Source organism: Homo sapiens, chromosome 9 (genome assembly GCF_000001405.40).
Source record: "Homo sapiens chromosome 9, GRCh38.p14 Primary Assembly".
Taxonomy (NCBI): domain Eukaryota; kingdom Metazoa; phylum Chordata; class Mammalia; order Primates; family Hominidae; genus Homo; species Homo sapiens.
Window position 1 is genome coordinate 28655758 of NC_000009.12, and position 22340 is coordinate 28678097.

The 22340-nt window shown below is 33.7% G+C and overlaps 1 protein-coding gene and 1 long non-coding RNA gene across 15 annotated transcripts in view; one reads left to right on the forward strand and one right to left on the reverse strand.

The window, feature by feature from the left end:
* The window catches only part of LOC105376003 (uncharacterized), a 36942-nt gene extending 35697 nt beyond the window's left edge, over positions 1 to 1245 (forward strand). Inside the window, exon 3 of the long non-coding RNA XR_929533.4 lies at positions 1144 to 1245. This is a non-coding gene — a long non-coding RNA (uncharacterized LOC105376003). The remainder of the gene's footprint in view (positions 1 to 1143) is intronic.
* Positions 1 to 22340, reverse strand: part of LINGO2 (leucine rich repeat and Ig domain containing 2) — a 1275985-nt gene that overhangs the window by 718141 nt on the left and 535504 nt on the right. For all 14 annotated transcript variants that reach the window (NM_001354574.2, NM_001258282.3, XM_047422814.1 and 11 more), the window contains one exon: positions 14443 to 14523. The gene's annotated coding sequence lies outside the window, so the exon portion shown is untranslated. The remainder of the gene's footprint in view (positions 1 to 14442; positions 14524 to 22340) is intronic.

Sequence of the window (22340 nt, forward strand, 5' to 3'; positions counted from 1 at the left end):
TGCTGCCATGTGAAGAAGGATGTGTTGGTCTTCTCTTCCTCCATGATTGTAAGTTTCCTGAGGCCTCCCCAGACATGCTGAACTGTGAATCAATTAAACTTCTTTCCTTTGTAAATTACTCAGTCCCAGGTATGTCTTTATTAGCAACGTGAGAACAGACTAATACAGTGAGCCAAAATGTATCAATAATTAGGGGGCTGTACATCACAGGTTTAACAAGAAAATAGTAACCACAATGCCAAGTGACAGTAGCCAAAGCTATGAGAAGCAGGTGAATTATTTAACATTGGCTGTAAATATAGGTGTCAAATTAGGCAACACTGCATTGGTTTCTAACAGTTGGTGGATGAGATATCCTGGCTGACCTTCATGCTGAAGACAACCTAAGATATTAGATAAAATACTAAAACAAAAAATGAAACATGTTTCCTAAATACATTAATGATCTAGCAAGAAATTTTAAAGTATTTGTTCTAAAGCAAGTGGGTTAAAGTTAAAAAAAAATAGCATATTTACATAGTCTCAAAGTGCGTTATCCTATAAAAAAGGAAAAATACAGGATTTTAAAGGCATCATATTAATTACAAAGAAAAAGATAATAAGTATACAATAGAAAAATCAGTAGTAATCAACTTAACCAAATGATTAAAATTAATCGCCCTAGTAATAAGAAAAGTAGACATCATGAGCCTTCTTGTATGATGCAAGGAGAATATGACTTTTGAAATATTTATACCAAAACGCATAACTGAATCTAATCATAAGGAAACATCAGACACATCCAAACTGAGATGTAATTTACAGAATAACTGGCTTGCACTCTTCAAAAATGTCATTATCTTGCATGATAAAGAGAGATTGAGATTAAAGGACATTAAAGAGACATGTGATCCTATGCTTTCTATTTACTATAATAAATGTTATAGGGACAAGGAGGAAAATTTGAAAAAATGTCTACGCAGTTTTAAAATACATACAAGAATATTTGATGCTTCTCCCTTCAGAAGATAAGCCTAATTCCCCTATCCATTAGTGTGATTTGTACTTTGTGACTCACTTCTAACTAATAGATAGTGGTAGAAATAGAGATGTCACTTCCCAGACTAGATAATTAAATAGCTTCACCCTTGCTCTCTCTCCTAGATCGTGCACACTGAGGAAGACAGACAACAAATAACTCTGCGGATAGATCAACATAGTGAGGAACTGAGTTCTCCAAACAGCAGCTACATGAGTGAGCCATTCTGCAAATGAATCATAAGCCCAGGCAAGCCTTTATGTGACAACTGTTTGAAGATAACCATACATAAAGACTTGATCCAAAACCATTCAACTAAATCACTCCAGATTCTTGACCCACCAAAAAAAATGTGAGATAAGTGTTTTGTTTTGTTCGAGTTGTTTTTTATTTCTTTAATTTTGGTAATATATATATAACAAAATTCACCATTTTAGCCATTTTTAAGTGTATAATTTAATTGGCATCTAGTACCCTGATATTTTTTTACTGCCATCACCACCACCCATCAAAAGAACTCTTTTCTTTTTAATTTGAAAAGTATTACTGTTAATTTTACATCAAATGATTCATAAAATTTACCAGTGCAGTCATCTACTCCGGGCTTTTTTATTTTTTTCCTTGAGAAGGTTTTGATTACACATTTAATATCTTTACTAATTACAGGTTTATTCAGATTTTCTATTTCTTCATGACTTATTCTTAGTAGATTGCATGTTTCTACAAATTTGTCCATTTCATTAAGATTATCCAATTTGTTGGCATACAATTGCTGGTAGTACTTTCTTATAATCCTTTTCATTGATGTAAAATAAGTAGTAATATTCCCTCTTTTATTTCTAATTTTAGTTATTTGAATCTTCTTTTCTTCCCTTAGTTTGTTTAGCTAACGGTTGTCAACATTCTTGCTCTTTTCAAAGAACCAGTTATTGGTTTTGTTGAATTTCTCTATTGTTTTTCTACTATCTATTTTGTTTATTTCTGTTGTAATATTTATTATTTTCTTACTTCTAGATTTGGGTTTTGTTTGTTCTTCTTTTTCTAGTTCCTTGAGATGTAAATTTAGATGGTTGATTTGAGATATTTCTTCCTTCTTATAAATATTTATAGCTACAAACTTCCCTTTAACACTGCTTTTACTGCCTCCCACAAGTTGTTATCTAATGCATTTTTATCTTCATTACTCTTGAGATATTTTTTCCAATTTCCTCTGTGACTCCTTCTTTTTCCCATTGGTGGTTTGAGTGTATTGTTTAATTTACACATATTTTTGTGATTTCCTGTTTTCTTTTTGCCATTGATTTCTACCTTCAATTCATTGTGATCAGAAAATATAATTTGTATGATTTTAATCATTCTAAATTTATTAAGTTTTGCTTATTACCTAATATATGGTCTATCCTAGAGAAAATTCCATATGCACTTGAGAAAAATGTGTATTCTCCTATTGTTGGGCAGTGTTCTATATATGACTGTTAAGTCACATTGGTGTATACAGTTGTTCAAGTCCTGTGTTTCTCTGATCTGGCTGGCTGTTCTATCCATTATTGAAAGTGGAAAATTCAAGTCTCCTACTATTATTGTGGAGCTTTCTATTTCTCTTTTTAATTCTGTCAGTGTTTGCTTCAACTGTTTAGTAGCTCTGATGTTTGCTGCATATATCTTTATAATTATTACATCTTCTTGGTGATCTGACTCTTTTATCACTATATAATGTCCTTCTTTTAACCTTTAACAATTTTTTACTTAAAATATATTTTGTCTGATATTAATATAGCCATGTTTGTTCTATTTCAACTACTATATGCATGGAATAGCTTTCATTTTCAATCTATGCATGTCCTTAGAACTAAAGTGTGTCTCTTACAGAAAGCATATAGTTGGATTTTATTTTTTAATACAATCCACTAATATATGTCTTTTGATGGGGAGGAGGTTGTCCACAAGTGTTTGTTTTGTTTTGTTTTGAACCACTGTATTTTGGAGTAATCACAGCAATAGAAAACTAACACAATACCTGTAGATTAGTTAACAGTATCATATCAATGTTAATTTCCTGATTTTTATAATTATACTATGGTTATGAAAAACACATTATTAGTTTAAGGGAAATCATATGAATGTATCTTCAGGGTTAAGAGATATAATGCCTCAAATTTTCCCTAAATGTTTCATAAAGACAGCAAGATGACAATGCAATGTGGTAAAATGTTAACTGCTGGCAAAAGAGGGTGAAAGTAAATTAAATTCTTTGTTACTATTATTGCAACTTTGCTTTAGGTCTAAAATTATGCTACAATTTTAAAGATTAAATAAAACTTAATTTGGAGACTACAAATTAAGGACATATTAGAATCCACAGTGGAAATATAGCACTGACACTAACTTTTAGCTTCTCTGGGTTTCCAGAAGAAAAGAAGACTGAAAAATGAATAGAGGTAATATACAGATAGACACTCACTGAATATTTTACAGAATTGAGGAAAGATATTAATATGAAGATTAAGTAACCTAAAATTCAAAAAATTTAAATTAAAGGAAATTAATGCCTGGACGTATAGTACAAATGCATGACACTAAAGCCAATGAAAAAATATTAAATATTGCAGGAGGAAAGATTACCTTCTTCAAAGACAGCAATAGCTTGACAGCTGACTTATATACTTTTTTTTCCTTTTTTATCTTTTTTTTTTTCTTTGAGACAAAATCTCACTCAGGCTGGAGTGCAATGACACAATCATAGCTAAATGCAGCCTTGAACTCCTGGGATCAAGTCATCTTCCCAACTCAGCCTGTCGAGTAACTGGGACTATAGGTGCATGCAACCACAGCCAGCAATTTTTTTGTATTTTTTGTAGATACAAGGTTTTGCCATGTTGCCCAGGCTGATCTTAAACTCCTGGGCTCAAGCAATCCACCTGCCTCAGCCTGCCAAACTGCTGGGATTACAGGCATGAGCCACCATGCTTGGCCAATGGCTGACTTCTGAATTGCAAAGATGATGACCAGAGTCCAGTGTCGTAATAGGTTGAATGTAACAAAATAAAATAACTGGTAACTTACAATCATATACTTAAAAAAATGGCTTTCAATGAGGAGAATAAAATAAAGACCTTCATAGACAAACAAAAATTGAGCTTTTGCTACCAACAGATAATTACAAAGGGACATCTTAAATGTTCTGCAGGAGGAAGTAAATAATCCTGGAAGAAAAATGTCAGATAGAAAAAGGAATAATGAGCAACGTCAGTGACCAATATGCTTATTCATGTATATTAAACAAAAATGAAGTTGTCATCGGGATTAAAAACTGTAATGGAACAAAAATATATAAAAATTGCATGTAAAATAATTGTAGTTAAGTTATTTTGAGCACCTATATTATTGTGAAAGTGAATAAAGATTAAAACTGACACTTTGATGAGTTTATGCATCATAACTGTTCTAGTGTTTATATTAGAAATTAAAATATGGTTATTAATTTTACCATATTAATAAAACATGGTTATTAATAACAGAAACATGAATGAGAATAATTAATTCAAAATATCTAAGAAATACACAAAGATAAAAGGGATTAGATAAATAAAAAACAAAAATAACAGTGAAGACATAATAAAAATATGGTAGCATTTGTAATAAATGTAAATAGACTAATTACCTCAGCTAAAATACAAAATTCAAAGCTGTGGCTGAGTGGCAGAGAAGCAGTATGGTTCCATTAATGTACATTTCAAAAATTTATAATTTATATATCTCACAGTAAACATATACTGGTAAAAATGTAGCCTAAAATCATAATAAAAAGCAAAATAATGATAATAAAATTCAAAAGAAAAGTTATCTCTGAGAAGTCAGAGAAAGGGATTGGATTAAGGAAGAACATACTTGCTAATTCAGGATATGTTAATTTTTTTTCCTTACACTAGATTCTAGGCATAATGGTTATGCATTGTATACTTTCACCTACCCATCATATATTTTAAAATGTTTGTTTCCCTCCATAGTCAATAAAACCAATAAAAAAGAGGTAGCATCAAAAATAAAAGATTTTAGATGAATATAGAATGTATTGTATCTCTGGTCTGATGCTACCTTTTCTGTCATCTTGAGAAGGAGAGCTGTCTTTGATTGATGAACCAGACTGAATGAATACAGCACTGCAAAAACTAAACCTGGGGCAAATCTAGATGACCATTAACCTCTGCCAGGTAGTTAAATGTTGTAGACTGCAAAAATGTCCCAATTTCTCACCACTGCCTTTATAGTGTGACCTTGCAACTACCTCTATCCAGAGGTGGAGTCTATTTGTCTATGTCTTGTTTCTGGGATGGGCTTGTAACCTGCTTTGACCAATAAGATGCAGAAAAATATATATATATATATGCTGGGTCAGTTCTGAGCACTGGTCTCAAGAAATTGTAAATACTATTCTTTGTCTTGAAATCCTGCTATCCATTCTGTGAATTTGTCTAAGCTACCCCATTGTATGATGAGAGATATGTGACCCAGTCACTCCTGTTGTATCTGTCAGAAAGTTGAAAATAGGTGAATGAGGCCATCCTGGAGTAGCCAGCCTTGGCCTGCCCTACAGTTGACTTCATGTGAGTAAGTGAGCTCAGGTACAATACTGAATCTAGGATCATCAAAACTGCCTGCCCATTGACCGGCCCATTGACAATAAATGATTGTTGTATTAAGCATGTAAGTTTGGGGGTTAATCAAAGCAGATATTAATCAGAAATAAATGGATTCTACAACTTTATAAGCACTATTTCCTTCCTGTTGCTCTTTTGTTGTGAAAGTACTCAGAAATGTTAACCTGGATATAATTCTGTAAACATATTGAAACATGAAGTGGCCATGAATATTTCTATTGCATTTAAAATGTCCCCATTTTGAAAAATTTGAGACATGGAAATCTTCAAAAATGATAGATTTAAAGTTACATTTTTAAAAAGCCAATGGGATAGAGTTTCTTAAGGATAAAACAGAAAAACTCAAGAGACACGCACAGGTTAGGAAACAGATGAGCTGATTTTCCTTCTTTCAATTTGTGGTGCTGTGAAAACCTTGTACTATGGACCCACAGTATTCATGAGAACAAGAGAACAGGGGTGGCAGGAGGTATTTTTAACAAAGTCATCAAGGTACTCATGAGGATGGCATATTTTCCATGAACAAGCAGCATAACTTAGTACTTTGCTCAAACGCCACACACAGCATAATGGAAATGGCACTTTCAGAATACTGATTCTCCCACAGGGAACTCAACAGTGAACTAGGAAAAGATCACAGGCTCTGACAGTTGATTGGTGAATTAATTAGATGTTGAACTTCTTTAATGCTATGGTAAATTACATGTGGAACATGCACTCAGAGTCATAAAAAGATTCCAAGGATGCTAGGTGTCACACAACAGTAGGGCAAAATGTAATCAGAATCCAGAGCGGGGCCCAATGCAAATCGGTTTACCAGAGGCCTGCTGAGATTAATCTTACTTGTATCCTTTTCTGAGGGGAAAATTTGGAGTGAGTGGCACAATTATTTAGGCTACAAGCAAAGGGAATTGATGCTTTTTTATTATTCTGTCTAAATTGTTCTTGACACAGACTTAGAATGTTAATATTTATCAACTTTTTACCCACCTTTACAGTCCCACCTCCTCATGTAATCTATCAAGTGATAGGAGATTTTGTAGAAAAAACCAGTGAGAGGGCGATTTTTTATTCTGCTGTGACCACATTACTGTCATTGCTGCCTATATGCTCTCAGAAAATACTTATTGTTGGCCTTTGTTGCTAAATACATGTTGGCATGTAATATATTGTTCTTATCTATTGTGTGATCTTAGGCAACTTAATCTCTTTAGCCCTCAATTTCTTCATTTGCAGAATGGGGACAATGACAGTATTCATTTTGTAGCGCTATAATGTTAATTAATTATGTAAATATTGCAAAGTACTTAAAATAGTGCCCGGCACATGGCAAGTGTTATAAAAGTTGCTGAATGAATATTGAAACAAAAACAATGTTCACCTATTTCCAAAGAGATCCATCACCATTTAAACTTCTGACCATTCAGCAAAAAAGACTTTGATTTCCAACATTGTGAGTAAGCAAAAATGAGCCTTTCCTTGGGAAAATGCAGCTTTCATAGAGGTAAATAGAAGAATATTAACAAAGTTTCACACATCAAGGGTAGATGTGTGAGGGTTCAAGGGAGTTTTACTTTTCTTCTCCATTATCTTCTGTAACTGGGAGGATATGGAAATAAATATAGATTAGGAATTATAACTGTCAGACCAAAAAAAGTCATCTAAATTCATTTCAAGCTTCTTTTCTGCCGACAAGTAGATGCTGCTGCTAACATATTGAGGTGCAGTTGTATTTTTTTTTGTTGTTGTTGGTGGGGAACGGAGTCTCACTCTGTTGCCCAGGCTGGAGTGCAGTGGTGCCATCTCGGCTCGCTGCAACCTCTGCTGCCTGGGTTCAAGCAATTCTCCTGTCTCAGCCTCCTGAGTAGCTGGGACTACAGGTGCCGGCCAACATGCCTGGCTAATTTTTGTATTTCTAGTAGAGATGGGGTATCACCATATTGGTCATGCTGGGCTTGAACTCCTGACCTCAGATGATCCACCTGCCTTGGTCTCCAAAAGTGCTGGGATTACAGGCGTGAGCCACCGCATCCGGCCTGCAGTTGTATTCTGATTAGATATCCTGCATGCCCTGTGAGAATGGCATGCAACAAAGGCAAACAACAATTCACTGCAATTCAACTCTTACCATGAGCAAAATACTGGGAAAGGCCCTAAAGAAAATGCAAACCAAAAACTGGAATAAGTTCCTCTGCTTCATATCTCCAAAGTATGTATTAATAATATTTTAATATCTTTCAACAAAATATAAGTGACTGAAAATATATATGGGTATATAAAGAACACATAAACCATTTAAAAAGGTTATTTTTAATTGTAGCTCCCTTCACTTCCCCTGTCTGCCGTATGCTGAAGATGACTGGTGAGTCATGACAAGTCTTGCACTGCTGAAAAAATGCATAAGGATTAGTATGGGGTTGAGTTGAGATAAACACGAAAAGTGGACCAATATTCCTGGAAGAATCAACTTGAGATTATATATGAATTATTATACCTAAAAAGGCTTGAGTTATTTAAGTCCCTTATTAAGACTGATGATACAACAATATTCATGAGGAACAAAAATGTTATCTATAGATAATATGAGATATTTGGTAAATAGAAGTAAGAAATTAAATATTTATATCGAGAGAGGATATTGTGTCCTGCTTTATTCTTAACAGGATTTGGGATGGTATTATAAGTTGGTTTTGATGCAGAATAAAAATATGTGAGGAAAAAAATTAAAACAGATAAAATAATGCTAGGGATAAAATTAGTACCTACTAGAAATTAGGTAAGACTATGGCTAAGGGAATCTAGGATGATTGGACTTCTTCCTCAGCCCACAGTACTGCTTTTTTTGTTACTTCTAGGGGAGCTATCTGCAAGGAACAATGACAAACAGTCTTTGAGACCTAAATGCTAATATAGAGAGCTGTGATAAATGGGGCTGGAACCACAGTCTAGGTTAGAAGCCTGAGAGACCTCTACTACTCACTCGCAATTTAAGCCCACATAGTAGATTTTACGTTGATCAGATTGGATGCCTTCAAGGGAAAAATAGTCAGAGAGAGAATAGGGAGTAAGACCTTGGTCAATTTAACATTTTGAGATAAGATAAAAAGGAGAAGAATGTATTAGAAAGAAGGATGACTGGGCTTCTCCTGTGGAAGGGCCTTTCAGTTTGAAAGGAAAAGAGAGAAACATACACAAATTTTCATCAAATGGCTATCGCACAGAACCAAGGAATCTCTCCAATGAGATCATCATATCCTCTTCTTGGGGACTAGATTTTTTTGTCTCCCAGAATGCTCTTTCTGCAGTAATTATACAGATATTCCAGATATTGACCTTGTTATAATTCAGGTCCCAGCTTAAAATATATCTACATTGACAACACAATTCAAAGTAGCCAGCTCTTCAAGCTCTCACCTTGCTTTACTTTTAACTGAGCACTTATTACTGAATATTTTCTTTCACATATTTTTGTTATTAACGGACTCCACACCAAAACTACCCATCTAGAACATAAGGTCTATGACAACAAGGACTTCATCTGTATTATTTATGTATGTGTTTACATATATATATATATATATATATATATATATATATATATATATGTTATAAGCGAACACAATAGGTACTCAATAAAGATTTAGCAAATAAATACATTCATGAAAATGTGTTTTAGTAGGCCAAAAAAGGTGGTGGAAAAAGAGATGCTTCTTGAGAACTTAATATTGACAATAGCTGACATTTATCAAGAGTGTTAATCTTCAGAACAAAACCATAAAATAAACACTGAAGAGAAAAATGCAGTGGCAACCTGATCAAATCTACTCTAGATCTAAATAAAAGATATGGGTTCCATACCTAGACTGATCTCAGAGCAGCTATGTTTCACTACCACGTATGCCATTAGATTATGTTTACATGCCAAATATGTGCAACACATTTAGTTCTGAAATTCCTTGTATTCCACACACACACATGCAAATAAATCTATTACATGATCCAATAGAATCATAAGTTAAAAATAAATGAGTTGCCCTAAAAAACCTTGCTATTTGGAGTGGTGAGACTGAAGGAAAATATGTACCATGGTCTCCTTAATGGAGAAACTTCATAAAGGATGAAGAAAAACACACCATGAATTACACCATGAATAATATTACTAAATGCAAGCATGAACTTCCAGCATTTATAATACAAATCAGTGTAAGTTGATAGCATTGATTCAAGTTTTGGTTTAGTGAAAGCACTTCTATAGAGAAAATATAAAGCTTTTAATAGCCTTGTTTAAACAACTGGTAAAATTTAAGCTATGCAGATGAATGAAAATGATTCATATCATTCAGGCAATCATTCCTCAGTATTATTTCTGACACCTACATTGATGATCAATATTGGCTGGTAGAAGTTATGATGTATATATTTTATGATGAGTACCAGACCATAGATATTTGGTGTTACTTTTTTTTTTTTTTTTTTGAGATGGAGTTTCATTCTTGTTGCCCAGGCTGGAGTGCAATGGCGCGATCTCGGCTCACTGCAACCTCCGCCTCTGGGTTCAAGCGATTCTCCTGCCTCAGCCTCCTGAGTAGCTGGGATTACACACATGCACCACGACACCCGGCTAATTTTTGTATTTTTAGTAGAGACGGGGTTTCACCATCTTGGCCAGGCTGGTCTCGAACTCCTGACCTCAGGTGATCGACCCTCCTCGGCCTCCCAAAATGTTGGGATTACAGGTGTGAGTCACTGCGCCCGGCTTAGTGTTACTTTTTAAGAATGTATTCATGGGTTTGAAAGCATGCATAATTTTGGTAACTTCTCAGAAGCTGATATGCTTAATCAGAATATATACCTGAACATGCACTATTGTACTTCTGCAGAGACATACAAATGGAAATATATATAACCAATGTCAAGACTTTCCTTTGAAAATAACTCCGGTTTTATCCAATACATGAAAAGAAGTCTGATTAATGGCCAACACTTTATCCAATCTAGAACCCTATATCACTAGAAAATAATAAGTAAAATACCCATAAAATATTTGACATTAATCTATGCTTTAAAATGGCTCTAAAAGGTACTCCTAGTCAACTAAATAATTGTTAGGCTCTAGTTCAAGGTCAGTTAAATGGCAAAGCATATATTCTGTAATAGTTTATTTGAAATCACTCTTTCCTACCATCCTTGGTTGTACTATAAGCCTCAATGGCATCATGTGGTGAGCAGTACTTTTATCCTTTTTTTCACAGACTAGTAAACTAAGCCTCAGAGACCTCATATAAATTGAAAAAGAGACATATCCAGAAAGTAGAGACCCAGGAATACTGGATCTGGATCTGGGATTGTAACCACTGAAATATTTGGCCTTACTTTTGTCAGTTTTTCTCAGCTAGATAAAACTAATGCATGTTTAAGCACAGTACATAGTTGGCTTCAGGTTCATATCCTAGTAACAGAATGAAAATACAACAATTATAGCATTTTTTAAAAAAATATTCTTTATATTAAAATCACTTTAAATTAAGAAAACATATAGCTTAAAAAGTATCACTTAGTATTAAATAAAATGTATATAAAGGCTATTTCTCCACATAAAAGATCATCAACGACTTATAGAATAATAAAAAAGATGTGAAGTGTTATTTCTTCAAACACTGGTTGACAAATGCATGCTCCGTGAGAAGTACTTGGCTGATCAAACAAACACACCAACTATTATCTCTAGAGTCAGTAGTCAATTATTCATGTAACAGCCCACTCTGTTTATATAGAAATTGTAATTTTCACAGTTTTTTCTCACTTTAACTAAACCCATGTAATATTATTTTTAAAACCTTTCTCATATTGGGTCACATTTCATCCAAATGTCTGATGGCCTCCCTTAGAACCACAGCTATAAAATCTAATCTCCTTTTCACCTGACATCATTTAAAACATTTACAGAGAGTCACCATCATCTCTTACACTTTTAAATTTTACTTTCTCCAAACAAGTCATACCTAATCCTCTCAAACCTTCAAATTCCCACTGGGCACGGTGGCTCACGCTTGTAATCCCAGCATTTTGGGATGCCATGGCAAGTGGATCATTTGAGGTCAGGAGTTCAAGAGCAGTCTGGCCAACATGATGAAACCACATCTCCACTAAAAATTCAAAAATTAGCTGGGCATGGTACTGCATGCCTGTAGTCCCAGCTACTCAGGGGACTGAGGCATGAGAATTGCTTGAACCCAGTTGGCGGAGGTTGCAGTGAGCCGAGATTGTGCCACTGCACTCCAGCCTGGGAAACAGAGTGAGCCTCTGTCAAAACAAAAACAAAAACAAAAACAAAACACAAAAACTTTCAAATTCCCAAATTATGATGTCTGTTCTGGGCAGTTATCCTTGGGTTTATAAATGTTCTTCTTCAACTGTGGACTGAGCTAACAGTTTTGGGCATGTTCTTCTATACACACTGCTGACCTATTTTACAGCTTGTTCAATGTGCCTGTATTGTCATCTACATTCCAAGTGCATGTTAGTCATCACACTGGTGACACCTTCTCAACGTGAACCTATGACTCTTTGGACAACATAAAATGTCTCTGCTATATTCACAATTTTTCTAGCTCTTAACTAATATCATGGATTTTTTTTTAATATTCTGGATGGCTTTAGAATTGAGAAAATAATCTTTAAAACCCCACCAAAGATTTTGAGAAAATAAAGACCTTTATTTTTCTTGGAGATTAGCAATAAAATAATAGGCAAATAATTCAGTACCCGAGGTGGAGTGGTAGTAGGGGAAGGTTAAAATCTCCTTTTCTTATTTTAAATGAAATCTTATCTGTAGGCAAAAGAAAAGGAACCAGTGCTGTGGGGTGAAGAGGATGAAAGTGGAAGTGAAAATGAACTTCATAATTAGAACAAGAACCTAGAGGATATTGACCTATCATTTCACTCTCCCTATGTTACTTGCCTTAAACTTCGGTTAAAATAAAGTTCTCAGTGCAGAAAAATTTGCATATGGATTTGATTTTTTTTAAATCCCATAAAAGTGAAACAAAATATTAATTTTTAAATAACTTCTAATAATTTCTTAGATTAATAATGTGTTTCACTTTCAGCTGATAAAAAAAAAACCTCCTAACTATACGCTCTGAAAGTACATCTAAAAACAACTAGTGTCCATTGGGTTCACAATCAGAGATATATTGTAGAATGTCACATAAATTCAAGCAGGAAAAAAAGGTTTTAATTTACCAGGATTACTTAAGCTGACTAAAGAAACTGTGAAAGAGTATTCTCAGATATATTCAAAAAAGCAATTACATTTCACTGTGTCTTGAAATCATTTCAAATTTATCATATTTTAAGTGCCATTAAATGTTCTTTTTGATTGGAAGAGCCCTATAAATGACAGGCAGTTTTGTGCTGTGCAAATTAGCAGTTTCCCCTAATTCTTTTCACAAGATTGTCAATTTTTAGTTATTATCTCATCCAAGTTCACATAATGGAGACTCTTGAAATTATGAACCATATGCCTCATGGTGCAATTCACAATTTAAATTTTATCAATGATGCCTTTAATTTTTAAAAAATTTGACCAATATTGTGTATTTTGTACCTGTTTAATTTACCCTAGTTACCCCTTAAATATATTTATTTTTTATATTTTAATCTATATTTCTGCATATGAAGAATACAAGTTTTCTTTGAACCCCAAGATCCCATCCTAGACTAATGTGTACGTGTATTTGTGTTTCTATGTATGTATTCACCATTCCTACCTGGGTAATCACCTATGTACAACTCCCTGCTTCCTGGCTGTTATTGTTTGAGACAAGTGGACTTGGCTGAAAGCAAGCATATTCCCTTTTTAGAAAACTTCTTTTTTTTCAGAAGAAAATTTTGTATTAGTGCTTCATTTCTTAGCCTTCATGAGGACACAAGTGATGCAGTTCCATATACCTTTCTTTAGTTCAATTAAATAAGACATTTCTTAACAGTTATGAGCTAAACTTAATCTTCCTGGGCACCACTGGACTTCTTTGTTTTTTTTCTCTGTAATTTCAGATAGTAAAAAGAAAACACAGTTGTAAATGCCACAATATAGTTTCCAACAATTGGAAGAAATATGAAAATACAAAAACAAAAATACCCATTGTGATGCTTGGTAAGTGGTCACTAGCAGAGAAGGCAAAGATAAAGAAACTAACAAGACATTCCAAGAAAAGGAAGTCACTCCCATCACACATACACAAGCCACCGTAAGGGCCATTAGTACTAGTGGGGGAAATAAAAAGAAAAGGAACTCAGCTTTCATTTAAAATGTACAGTACCTCCTATATAAATTTAAATTTATATACCTCTTAAATCATGACTTTTATTGTATGATTGTATGTATTAATAAAGAAACATCTTCAGTCACCGCACTTTCAAATGTATATTAGAACATGCTAAAATGGTGTTTTAATGGATAAAAATGACATTAAGCAAACAGAAACAGTATACAGACTGTCAGAAACATATCATCACATATATAGTAGCTTTACAGAGAAAAATTTATAAACCCAGCAGTGGATTGTCAACATGCCAATAACTTCCTCCAGTCACTTTGGGGCTAACAAATTAGAGGAACTAATTAAATATTTGATTAAATTAATTAAATATATGATTAAATAAAATTATCCACTTCCTTGGTATAATAAAAATAAGTTTTAAAATAAAAAATCCTATTTCATTTCATCCTGAAAATACAATTGAAATAAATTTGGCATTTACCTCATGTGATTAAAAATCCACTGGACACTTTAGAAGTGCAGGCAGCTCATGATACAGCTTTCTGATGGCACTCATCAATTCCTACAAATAACAAGAGGGTGAAAGAGAATATTCAGAGCAATATATGTCTTTGTAAAATGATGGTGATTAGCTATGAAATTTTTATTATCACTCTACTGCCTTTTTAAAAATACCTGACTATATATTGCTGTTATAATAGCTTTTGTTAAATGTGCAATATAGCAATGAAAATTATGTCTGTCTGGGACTTCCGAGGTACTAAAATAGACCCTAGATTATGACATACTGCAAAACATCAAACCACACAATAGCATGTTATTTTACTGAGAAAGGCTGTTGGATTATAAAAACCAAATAATTTGTAAATGAAATGTTTTCTTATGTGCATTACCACATCAAATCATTTTTCTAGTCATGATGCTAAGTTATAAGAAGTAGAGGGTTTAGCTTTTACCACTGGCTACTTTAACCAAATTTTAGCAAATATCCTTACTTTATATCTCATAGATTTCCCAGGGAAGAGCCATAAAATGTAGGAAATGATGGTTATCCATCTGATAAGTTAATATGCAATATGGTAGGTTTAAACTTATCAAATGAATGGCTATCATTTCCTACATTTTATGAATCTTCCTCAGGGAGACATAGAAAATAAAATACATATGCTTGCTAAAATAACAAGATACTATATAGTATATACAGTATAAAATTATATAGCAACTCAAACTTTTACAGTTTCAATTATCTGGGGAAGAAACTTTTCAAAAAAGCATTATTTTCTCCCATCTACTTGATAAAAGAGAATTAAAATGATAAGCAAGATAGATGAGTATTTTGTTGCTGCATATTGTCACTTTCCCATGTTTCCCATACACAAATATGTAGGGTGATAACTGTATAGCATCCCTTTTCTACATGCCCATTACTCCAAGCCTCACACATGTTAAATTCAGGCACAAATCTCAGTGAATCAGCACCATGGACGTCTGCTCGACCTTTCCCCTCTGCACATCGCTGACCCTTCCTATAAATCTCTCACTCTTTAGGTGACAAAAAAAGTCAGTATAGAATAAAAAGGGATGGTAGAAAGATGGTGCTCCTCTGATGATAATAGCAAAGACCTAAATAAACCTAAATAAATAAAGACCTAAATAAACCTAAATGCTCATCAGTGGCAGATTGGATAAACAAAATGTGGTACATATCAACACAAAATTCTATGCAGCCATAAAAAAGAAAAAGATTATGACCTTTTTAGCAACATGGACAGAGCTGGAGGCCATTATCTTAAGCAAAAAAAAAAAAAAAAAAAATACAGGAACAGAAAACCACATACCACATGTTCTCACTTATAAGTGGAAGCTAAACAATGAGAATACACGGATACAAAGAAAGAAACTGGGGTCTATTTGAGAGTGGAGGGTGGGAGGAGGGAAAGAATCAAAAAATTACGTATCACGTACTATGCCTATTCATCAGGTGACGAAATAACCCGTACAAGAAGCCCATGTGACACGCATTTCCCTATATAACAAACCTGAACGTGTACCCCAAACCTAAAATAAGAGTTAAAAAAAAGTAGCACTCAACTAAGAAGTATAACTTTGTCAAGGCACATATAGAAGATTGGAACATAAAGACATGAGCATTTCCTTATCACAGGAGAAGTCATATAAGTTCATGCTTTAAGTGTTGGATTTATAAATATTATATTATCATTTCAATTTTTCTAAAAGCTACTATCAGAAATTAAATATATATATTTCTTATTATGTGCTTTGTGTCTTTTGTTCGGAGGTATTATAACTCACTTTGAGGAGAAGATGCTTTATAGCCAAATAAATTCAGTAGAGTGAATAACATGTCCTATTAGGTTCTGGAAAGAAATCAGAAGCTACACTTCCATTAGGGGGAAACAGACTTAGAAAGAAAGTGGCAACCACTTTTAGCAAGAAAGGGAGCATTCATATGTGCAGAATAGTAGGACACTAGGCAGAAAAACCCTAAAACACCAAGAATGGTTGCATTGCATTTTACGAATTTCTGCATATGTTGCAGCATCATTGCTTTCCTGAGAATGCTTCAACTTCTCCAATGCCTGGTTGTTTTCTAAATCTGTATAGTATTCACTTTTTTTGTGCCCTGTTTTATTTTATAATTTATAAATTCACAGCAAACAACTCTAACTCTATTGGAAGCTCACCGTAACAAGTGCTGTGATAGGCACTTTCATATGCATATCTCATTTAATCAACAAGATATGTACACTGTCACACTTTGCCACCATTGGCTTACATATTGGATATCTCAGCATACAAATCTTAAATTATAAGTTGTATGTTCCATGAAATAAAGTGCTGTTTCCTACTCATTATAAGTTTTAAGTTCCATATCTTTAATTTGATTAAAGTGCTTTCTGAATGTCTAAAGTGTTTATTGAGTGTTTTAAAATATATATGGAATGTGAAAATTATTCAACTAAATCCATGATCTATTTGTTTGAAATGTGAATTTTAGCATTACAATGGAGAGAATCCTGAAACCTCATAAGATCTTTTGTTTATGATCATATTTATAGATCAGATACATGATATCTTTGAGGAAGAAGAAATGTACATTTTATTTACAACCACAAACCAGAAATTCCTAATTCCTTGGAAGAAAACAATTTTAACTAAGACTCAATATTATTTGAGGGATGTGAAAAATAAGTTATGTTGGTGAAGTAAAGAGTATGAATGCAAAAGAAGAAACACAATAAACAGTATTAAAAGGAGACTATTTTTCTAATTAGAAAACTAAATGGTCAAGTGAGTGAATAAAGAAGTTGGGTGAAATGTGTTGATAAAACTTACAATAGCATTGTGTTTGTAGGGTATTTTTTAAAGGGGAGTTTAAGTAATACAATTTTCTAAGTAGAAATTCCTTCAGAGTTTTGTGGGTTAATAATAAAATAATGGATAAAAGAAATCAAAGCTGTAATTCCTAAAAAAGTAAATCGAAGTTTACAGTGATGGGGCATCACATTCTGTATTAAATGATAACACCAGATGAGAAGCCAGGCCCAGATGTAATCCTAGATCATGTGATTTATTAGATTCTTCTCACCAAAATGATTTAGAGAAACAGCAGAAAGATATTAGTAATAGAATAAATATTGTTCAGGCCAGGTGTGGTGGCTCATGTCTGTAATCCCAGCACTTTGGGAGGCCGAGGTGGGTGGATCACCTGAGGTCAGCAGTTTGAGACCAGCCTGGCCAACACAGAGAAACCTCGTCTCTACTAAAAATAAAAACATTAGTGAGTTGTGGTGGCACGTGCCTGTAATTCCAGCTACTTGGGAGGCTGAGGTAGAAGAATCGCTTGAACCCGGGAGGCGCAAGTTGCAGTGAGCCAAGATCACGCCACTACACTCCACCCTGGGAAACAGAGTGAGACTCTGTCTCGATCATCATCATCATCATCATCATCATCATCATCATCATAAATATTGTTCAGAGGATAAAAGAAAAATATGAAAAATCAGTTTCATAAGAATTGGTAGATGTAGCTCAACTGAGCTGGGACAAGACTGAGAACAAAAACGTAAGAAGCAATACCCTCAATACTTTAATCGACACAATTCAAGGTAAGTGATAACGTTTATAAACAGAAGACAAAAAGTAGGAATTTGATGAACATGTATTTTCAAGCAGTTAACAGACAAAAGATACCCCCAAACCATGTGTAAAAGAAAAAATAAAAAAAAAATCCATCCATATGCTTAGTATGGTCAATAAAATCTAAAGTAGTCAGTAAACCTAATTAAAAAAAAATACAGATCCAGTCTCATAGTCTTCATGATATAATGGTGAAGAGAGAAAACAATGTTAAAGAGAGGTGAACATGCTGTAACAGTAACTATAGAGGATTAATATTTTTAAACTACAAACAGGCATGAATTACTCCTCATTCAAACAAACGTGACCCTAACTTCAAGGCTAGGAATATGTAAATGCAATTTATAAAATAATAACTGTGGCTCTGCTGACTTCTTATACAATAATGTAATAATCTTTAAGGATAAACAATACTTTAAATTGATTCAAACTGGAGTAAGCATATCATTTAGGTTTATAGTGATATTCTAGGAATAATTTGAAAACGAAGGAAACGATCTCCCTAGAACTTTCAGTGCTACTTGAAGTTTTACAAGGAAAAATATCAACCTACATTTGAATGTTTCTAGGTAGAAATAGTCTGTTGTTATTAATTATGTCTCTACAAGTGTTTCAGATAAAAGACTTGAAAACCCCTGCTTTAAATAAAAAGGTACACATTTTTTACCATTTTCTCTTTTTCTACCACATTTTATAGTGATTCTCACACTTTATTTCAAGGTGGGGAAAAAGGGAGAATACTTTTCCAGAGAAAACATATACTATATGACATCTTCTCTCAAAAGGAAATGAATCCTCTAATTTATTTAAATATTTATGATTATTGATACTTTATATACAGTAGTCTAGAGCATTAACACACGGGACAACACAGGCTTTAACACATGATGCAGAACTCATCATGGTCAAAAGGTCTGGCTGTTAAATTTCTTGGATGATTGCATAAGGCTAATAACACAGCATCACTAAAGGATCATCCAACAGATCGGCAGCCTCTCACCTGAAGCTCCATTAATATTTTGGAGAGTGTAGAATGTGACCTACAGAAATGGTCTACACTACATTGGGGAAAGACGGTCTCTCATACATCCAGTAGACCAAATATTTTGAATTGTTATATGTAATCTGCATCTTCTGTCATATTATGCTTTTTCTTTTCAGTTACAGAAGGAAGAAGAGAAATAAAACGCCTACTATGTACCTAGATATGATACCTAGTGCTTTAAAAACATTATTTAATTTATTCCTCAAGAAATAAATTATGTGAGAAAGGCGGTATTATCCCACTTCACATATATATAACTGAGGCTTAGAAAGTGATGCATTTATTTTCTCACGATTACAGATCTTTCCATTATTTATCACTGCCTTTAAAGTTTCAAAACTGAATGGCTTTGGACATGGAAGTAGTGGGAGCAAAGGTTAAATTGAATGCAATGGTACCTAATAAAACTTGAAACCTGTAATCATTGCAGTTGATCAAAGTTGGATGATTCAGTGTTTTATTTTCAATATTTCGTGATTGTTAAATAAAAGTCAAGTTCTAAATAAAAGCTTGCTCTTTCTTTTATTTGTTGTTTTGGCTTTTTGAAAGGATGGTTATTAAAATGCAATATAATCTGTTTCCCTAATGAATATTAACTTTTAAACAAACAAAAGTTTATAAAATTAATATTAAGTTTTAAATATACAAAAGTTTATAAAAATATAACATTTTGCGGTGGCTCACGCCTGTAATCCTAGTACTTTGGGAGGCTGAGACGAGCAGATCACCTGAGGTCAGGAGTTTGAGACCAGCCTGGACAACATGGTGAAACCCTGTCTCTACTAAACATACAAAAATTAGCCAGGTGTGGTGGCAGGCACATGTAATCCTAGCTACTCGGGAGGCTGAGGCAGGAGAATTGCTTGAACCTGGGAGGCAGAGGTTGCAGTGAGCCGAGATCATGCCACTGCACTCCAGCCTGGGTAACAGAGCAAGACTCCATTTCAAAAAAAAAGAAAAAAAAATGTGTGTGTGTGTATGTATATATATATATATATATACATACACACACACACACACACACACAGATATATATGTATATATACATTTAAAAATAACATTTTAAATAAGGCATTTTACATGAAATCTAGCTGTTTCAATTAATAATATGATATTCCTAACAAAATGACATAATAGAAATGACATTTCCTCGGAACTTATATTTATTTAATATTACTTTTCCATTAGAATAGAAAAACTGAAACATGGCATTAATTCCATTTTAATTATAATATAATAAAATAGCTTTATAAATTCTTAATTTTAATAGCATAAAATAGTTATGCTAATATTAAAGATTAAGTTATATGATGCCAAATTTTAAGACAGCAAATTAGCTATACCATTCGCTGGAGCAATAGAGAGAAGACAGGAACATAGGAAAAATATATTCAATGAATAATTTGACTCTGTCCTTCACTGAACTGCTTAATATTAAAAACAAACATTTTTCCAACTTAAAAAAAAGCACAATGACAGTACTACTTGATTGACTCTCTCTATACATGCCACCTGAAACATGTTGTCATAAACCATACCACAAGAGAATCTTACATTTTTACTACACTAAATTCTAAATCCTATTTTAGTATAGAATGCATACAGCCTGTTCTTCAATAAATAAATCCAGTAATAAAACAATAAAAGAAGGCATTTTGACTCTTCTTTTTTAAGTTGCCTGCTTTTAAAACATGTGTTGTTGGTGGTGGTGTTGGTGGTGGTGGTGGCTCTAAGATTTACGAGGACTTCACTGTGGATTGCTTTGGTGGCTTACATTTCCTTTTGTTCTTGCCCTTTTTAGAGAGGTACATAATTGGATATTGGCATTTTATTTGCTTTAATCTTTTGAAAACCCAAGAGTGAAAGCCATACATCCTTGTGTTTTTATTAGGTTAATCAAGTTAAAAATTGTCATTGTGTTTAAACTTTTAAAAGTTGAAATTCTCCTATGGCTACACATTTTCTTAAGTGGATGGCATATTTTGTTTGGTCTTAAAACATATGTTTATAAACTCTATCTCTTTAAATTACACACAAACAAACACATACAGAAAACTACTGTGTCTTGTACAACATTAGCAAAATAATAGCGATAATTAACGGTTACTGAATGCTTTCCGTATGCTAGGCACTGTTCTAAGTACATTACATTTATTTGCATGCCTAATTCTCACAACAGTCCAAATATATTATTTTATCCCAATTGAAAGTTAAAAAGTTGTGGCACAGAGGGATTAACTAACCAGGCAAGTAAAGAGCTAACATTTAAACCAAGGTGGTTTGACTTCAGAGTGTGAGCTACTAAGAACTGCTACACTATCTCTGATTAAAAGATACCAATAATGGCATTCGGATAACAATTGTGCGGACATGTTCCTTAACCAAAAAATATCAAATCATTAAAAATGCGATAGAGTGGCAGAAATAGTTGAGTGAGAAACAACAGAGCTGAAGCTATCTGAAGGTATGGGCTATTCCTGCTTACTTTATCTCATACTCACAATATTGGTAGAGCATCTAAGACAAAGCAAGCCAGTATCCAAGAAATATTTGTTGCGTGACTGATGGATAAAGAAGGAGGCTTATATGAGTACTGGTATTTCTGCACATCTTGGATGAAAGTGCAAACTTCACATACTAGTCCAGATTCAGCACATATCTTCAGTGGATTCACACTCTCACCTTCAACTATACTGTCTAACGCTCTCACATAATCCCTTGAGCCCTGGCCACCTGTGTTCCATTTACAACTGCCCATATTCATATTCATTAAAGCCCTTTATGCTACAGTCATTTAATAAACTGCTCTAATGAAAAAATCCATTGTAATTTCATTTAATATAGGTAATTTTAACACAGGTTTTTGACAGAAAATATCATAATTCAGGATAGTAATTCTAATGGTAGGAAGATCAGGCAGTAACACCATAAACCAGAAATCCAAACCGAGAAACCAATACCCTGGGATGTCCTGAGTTCCTCCTTCTCTCTCACCTGCCCAGAAGCATCCCGAATCCATCTACATGTTATCATTATTACTGCCACCCCCACTCCAAGCTGTTACCTTTCTCCTGGATTATTCTGATGGTCTCCTAACTAGTCTTTCTTCTTGAGCTCCTGCCCTTTCAATCTATTCTCTACCTTCCAACGAAAATTATCTTAAAATATCAATT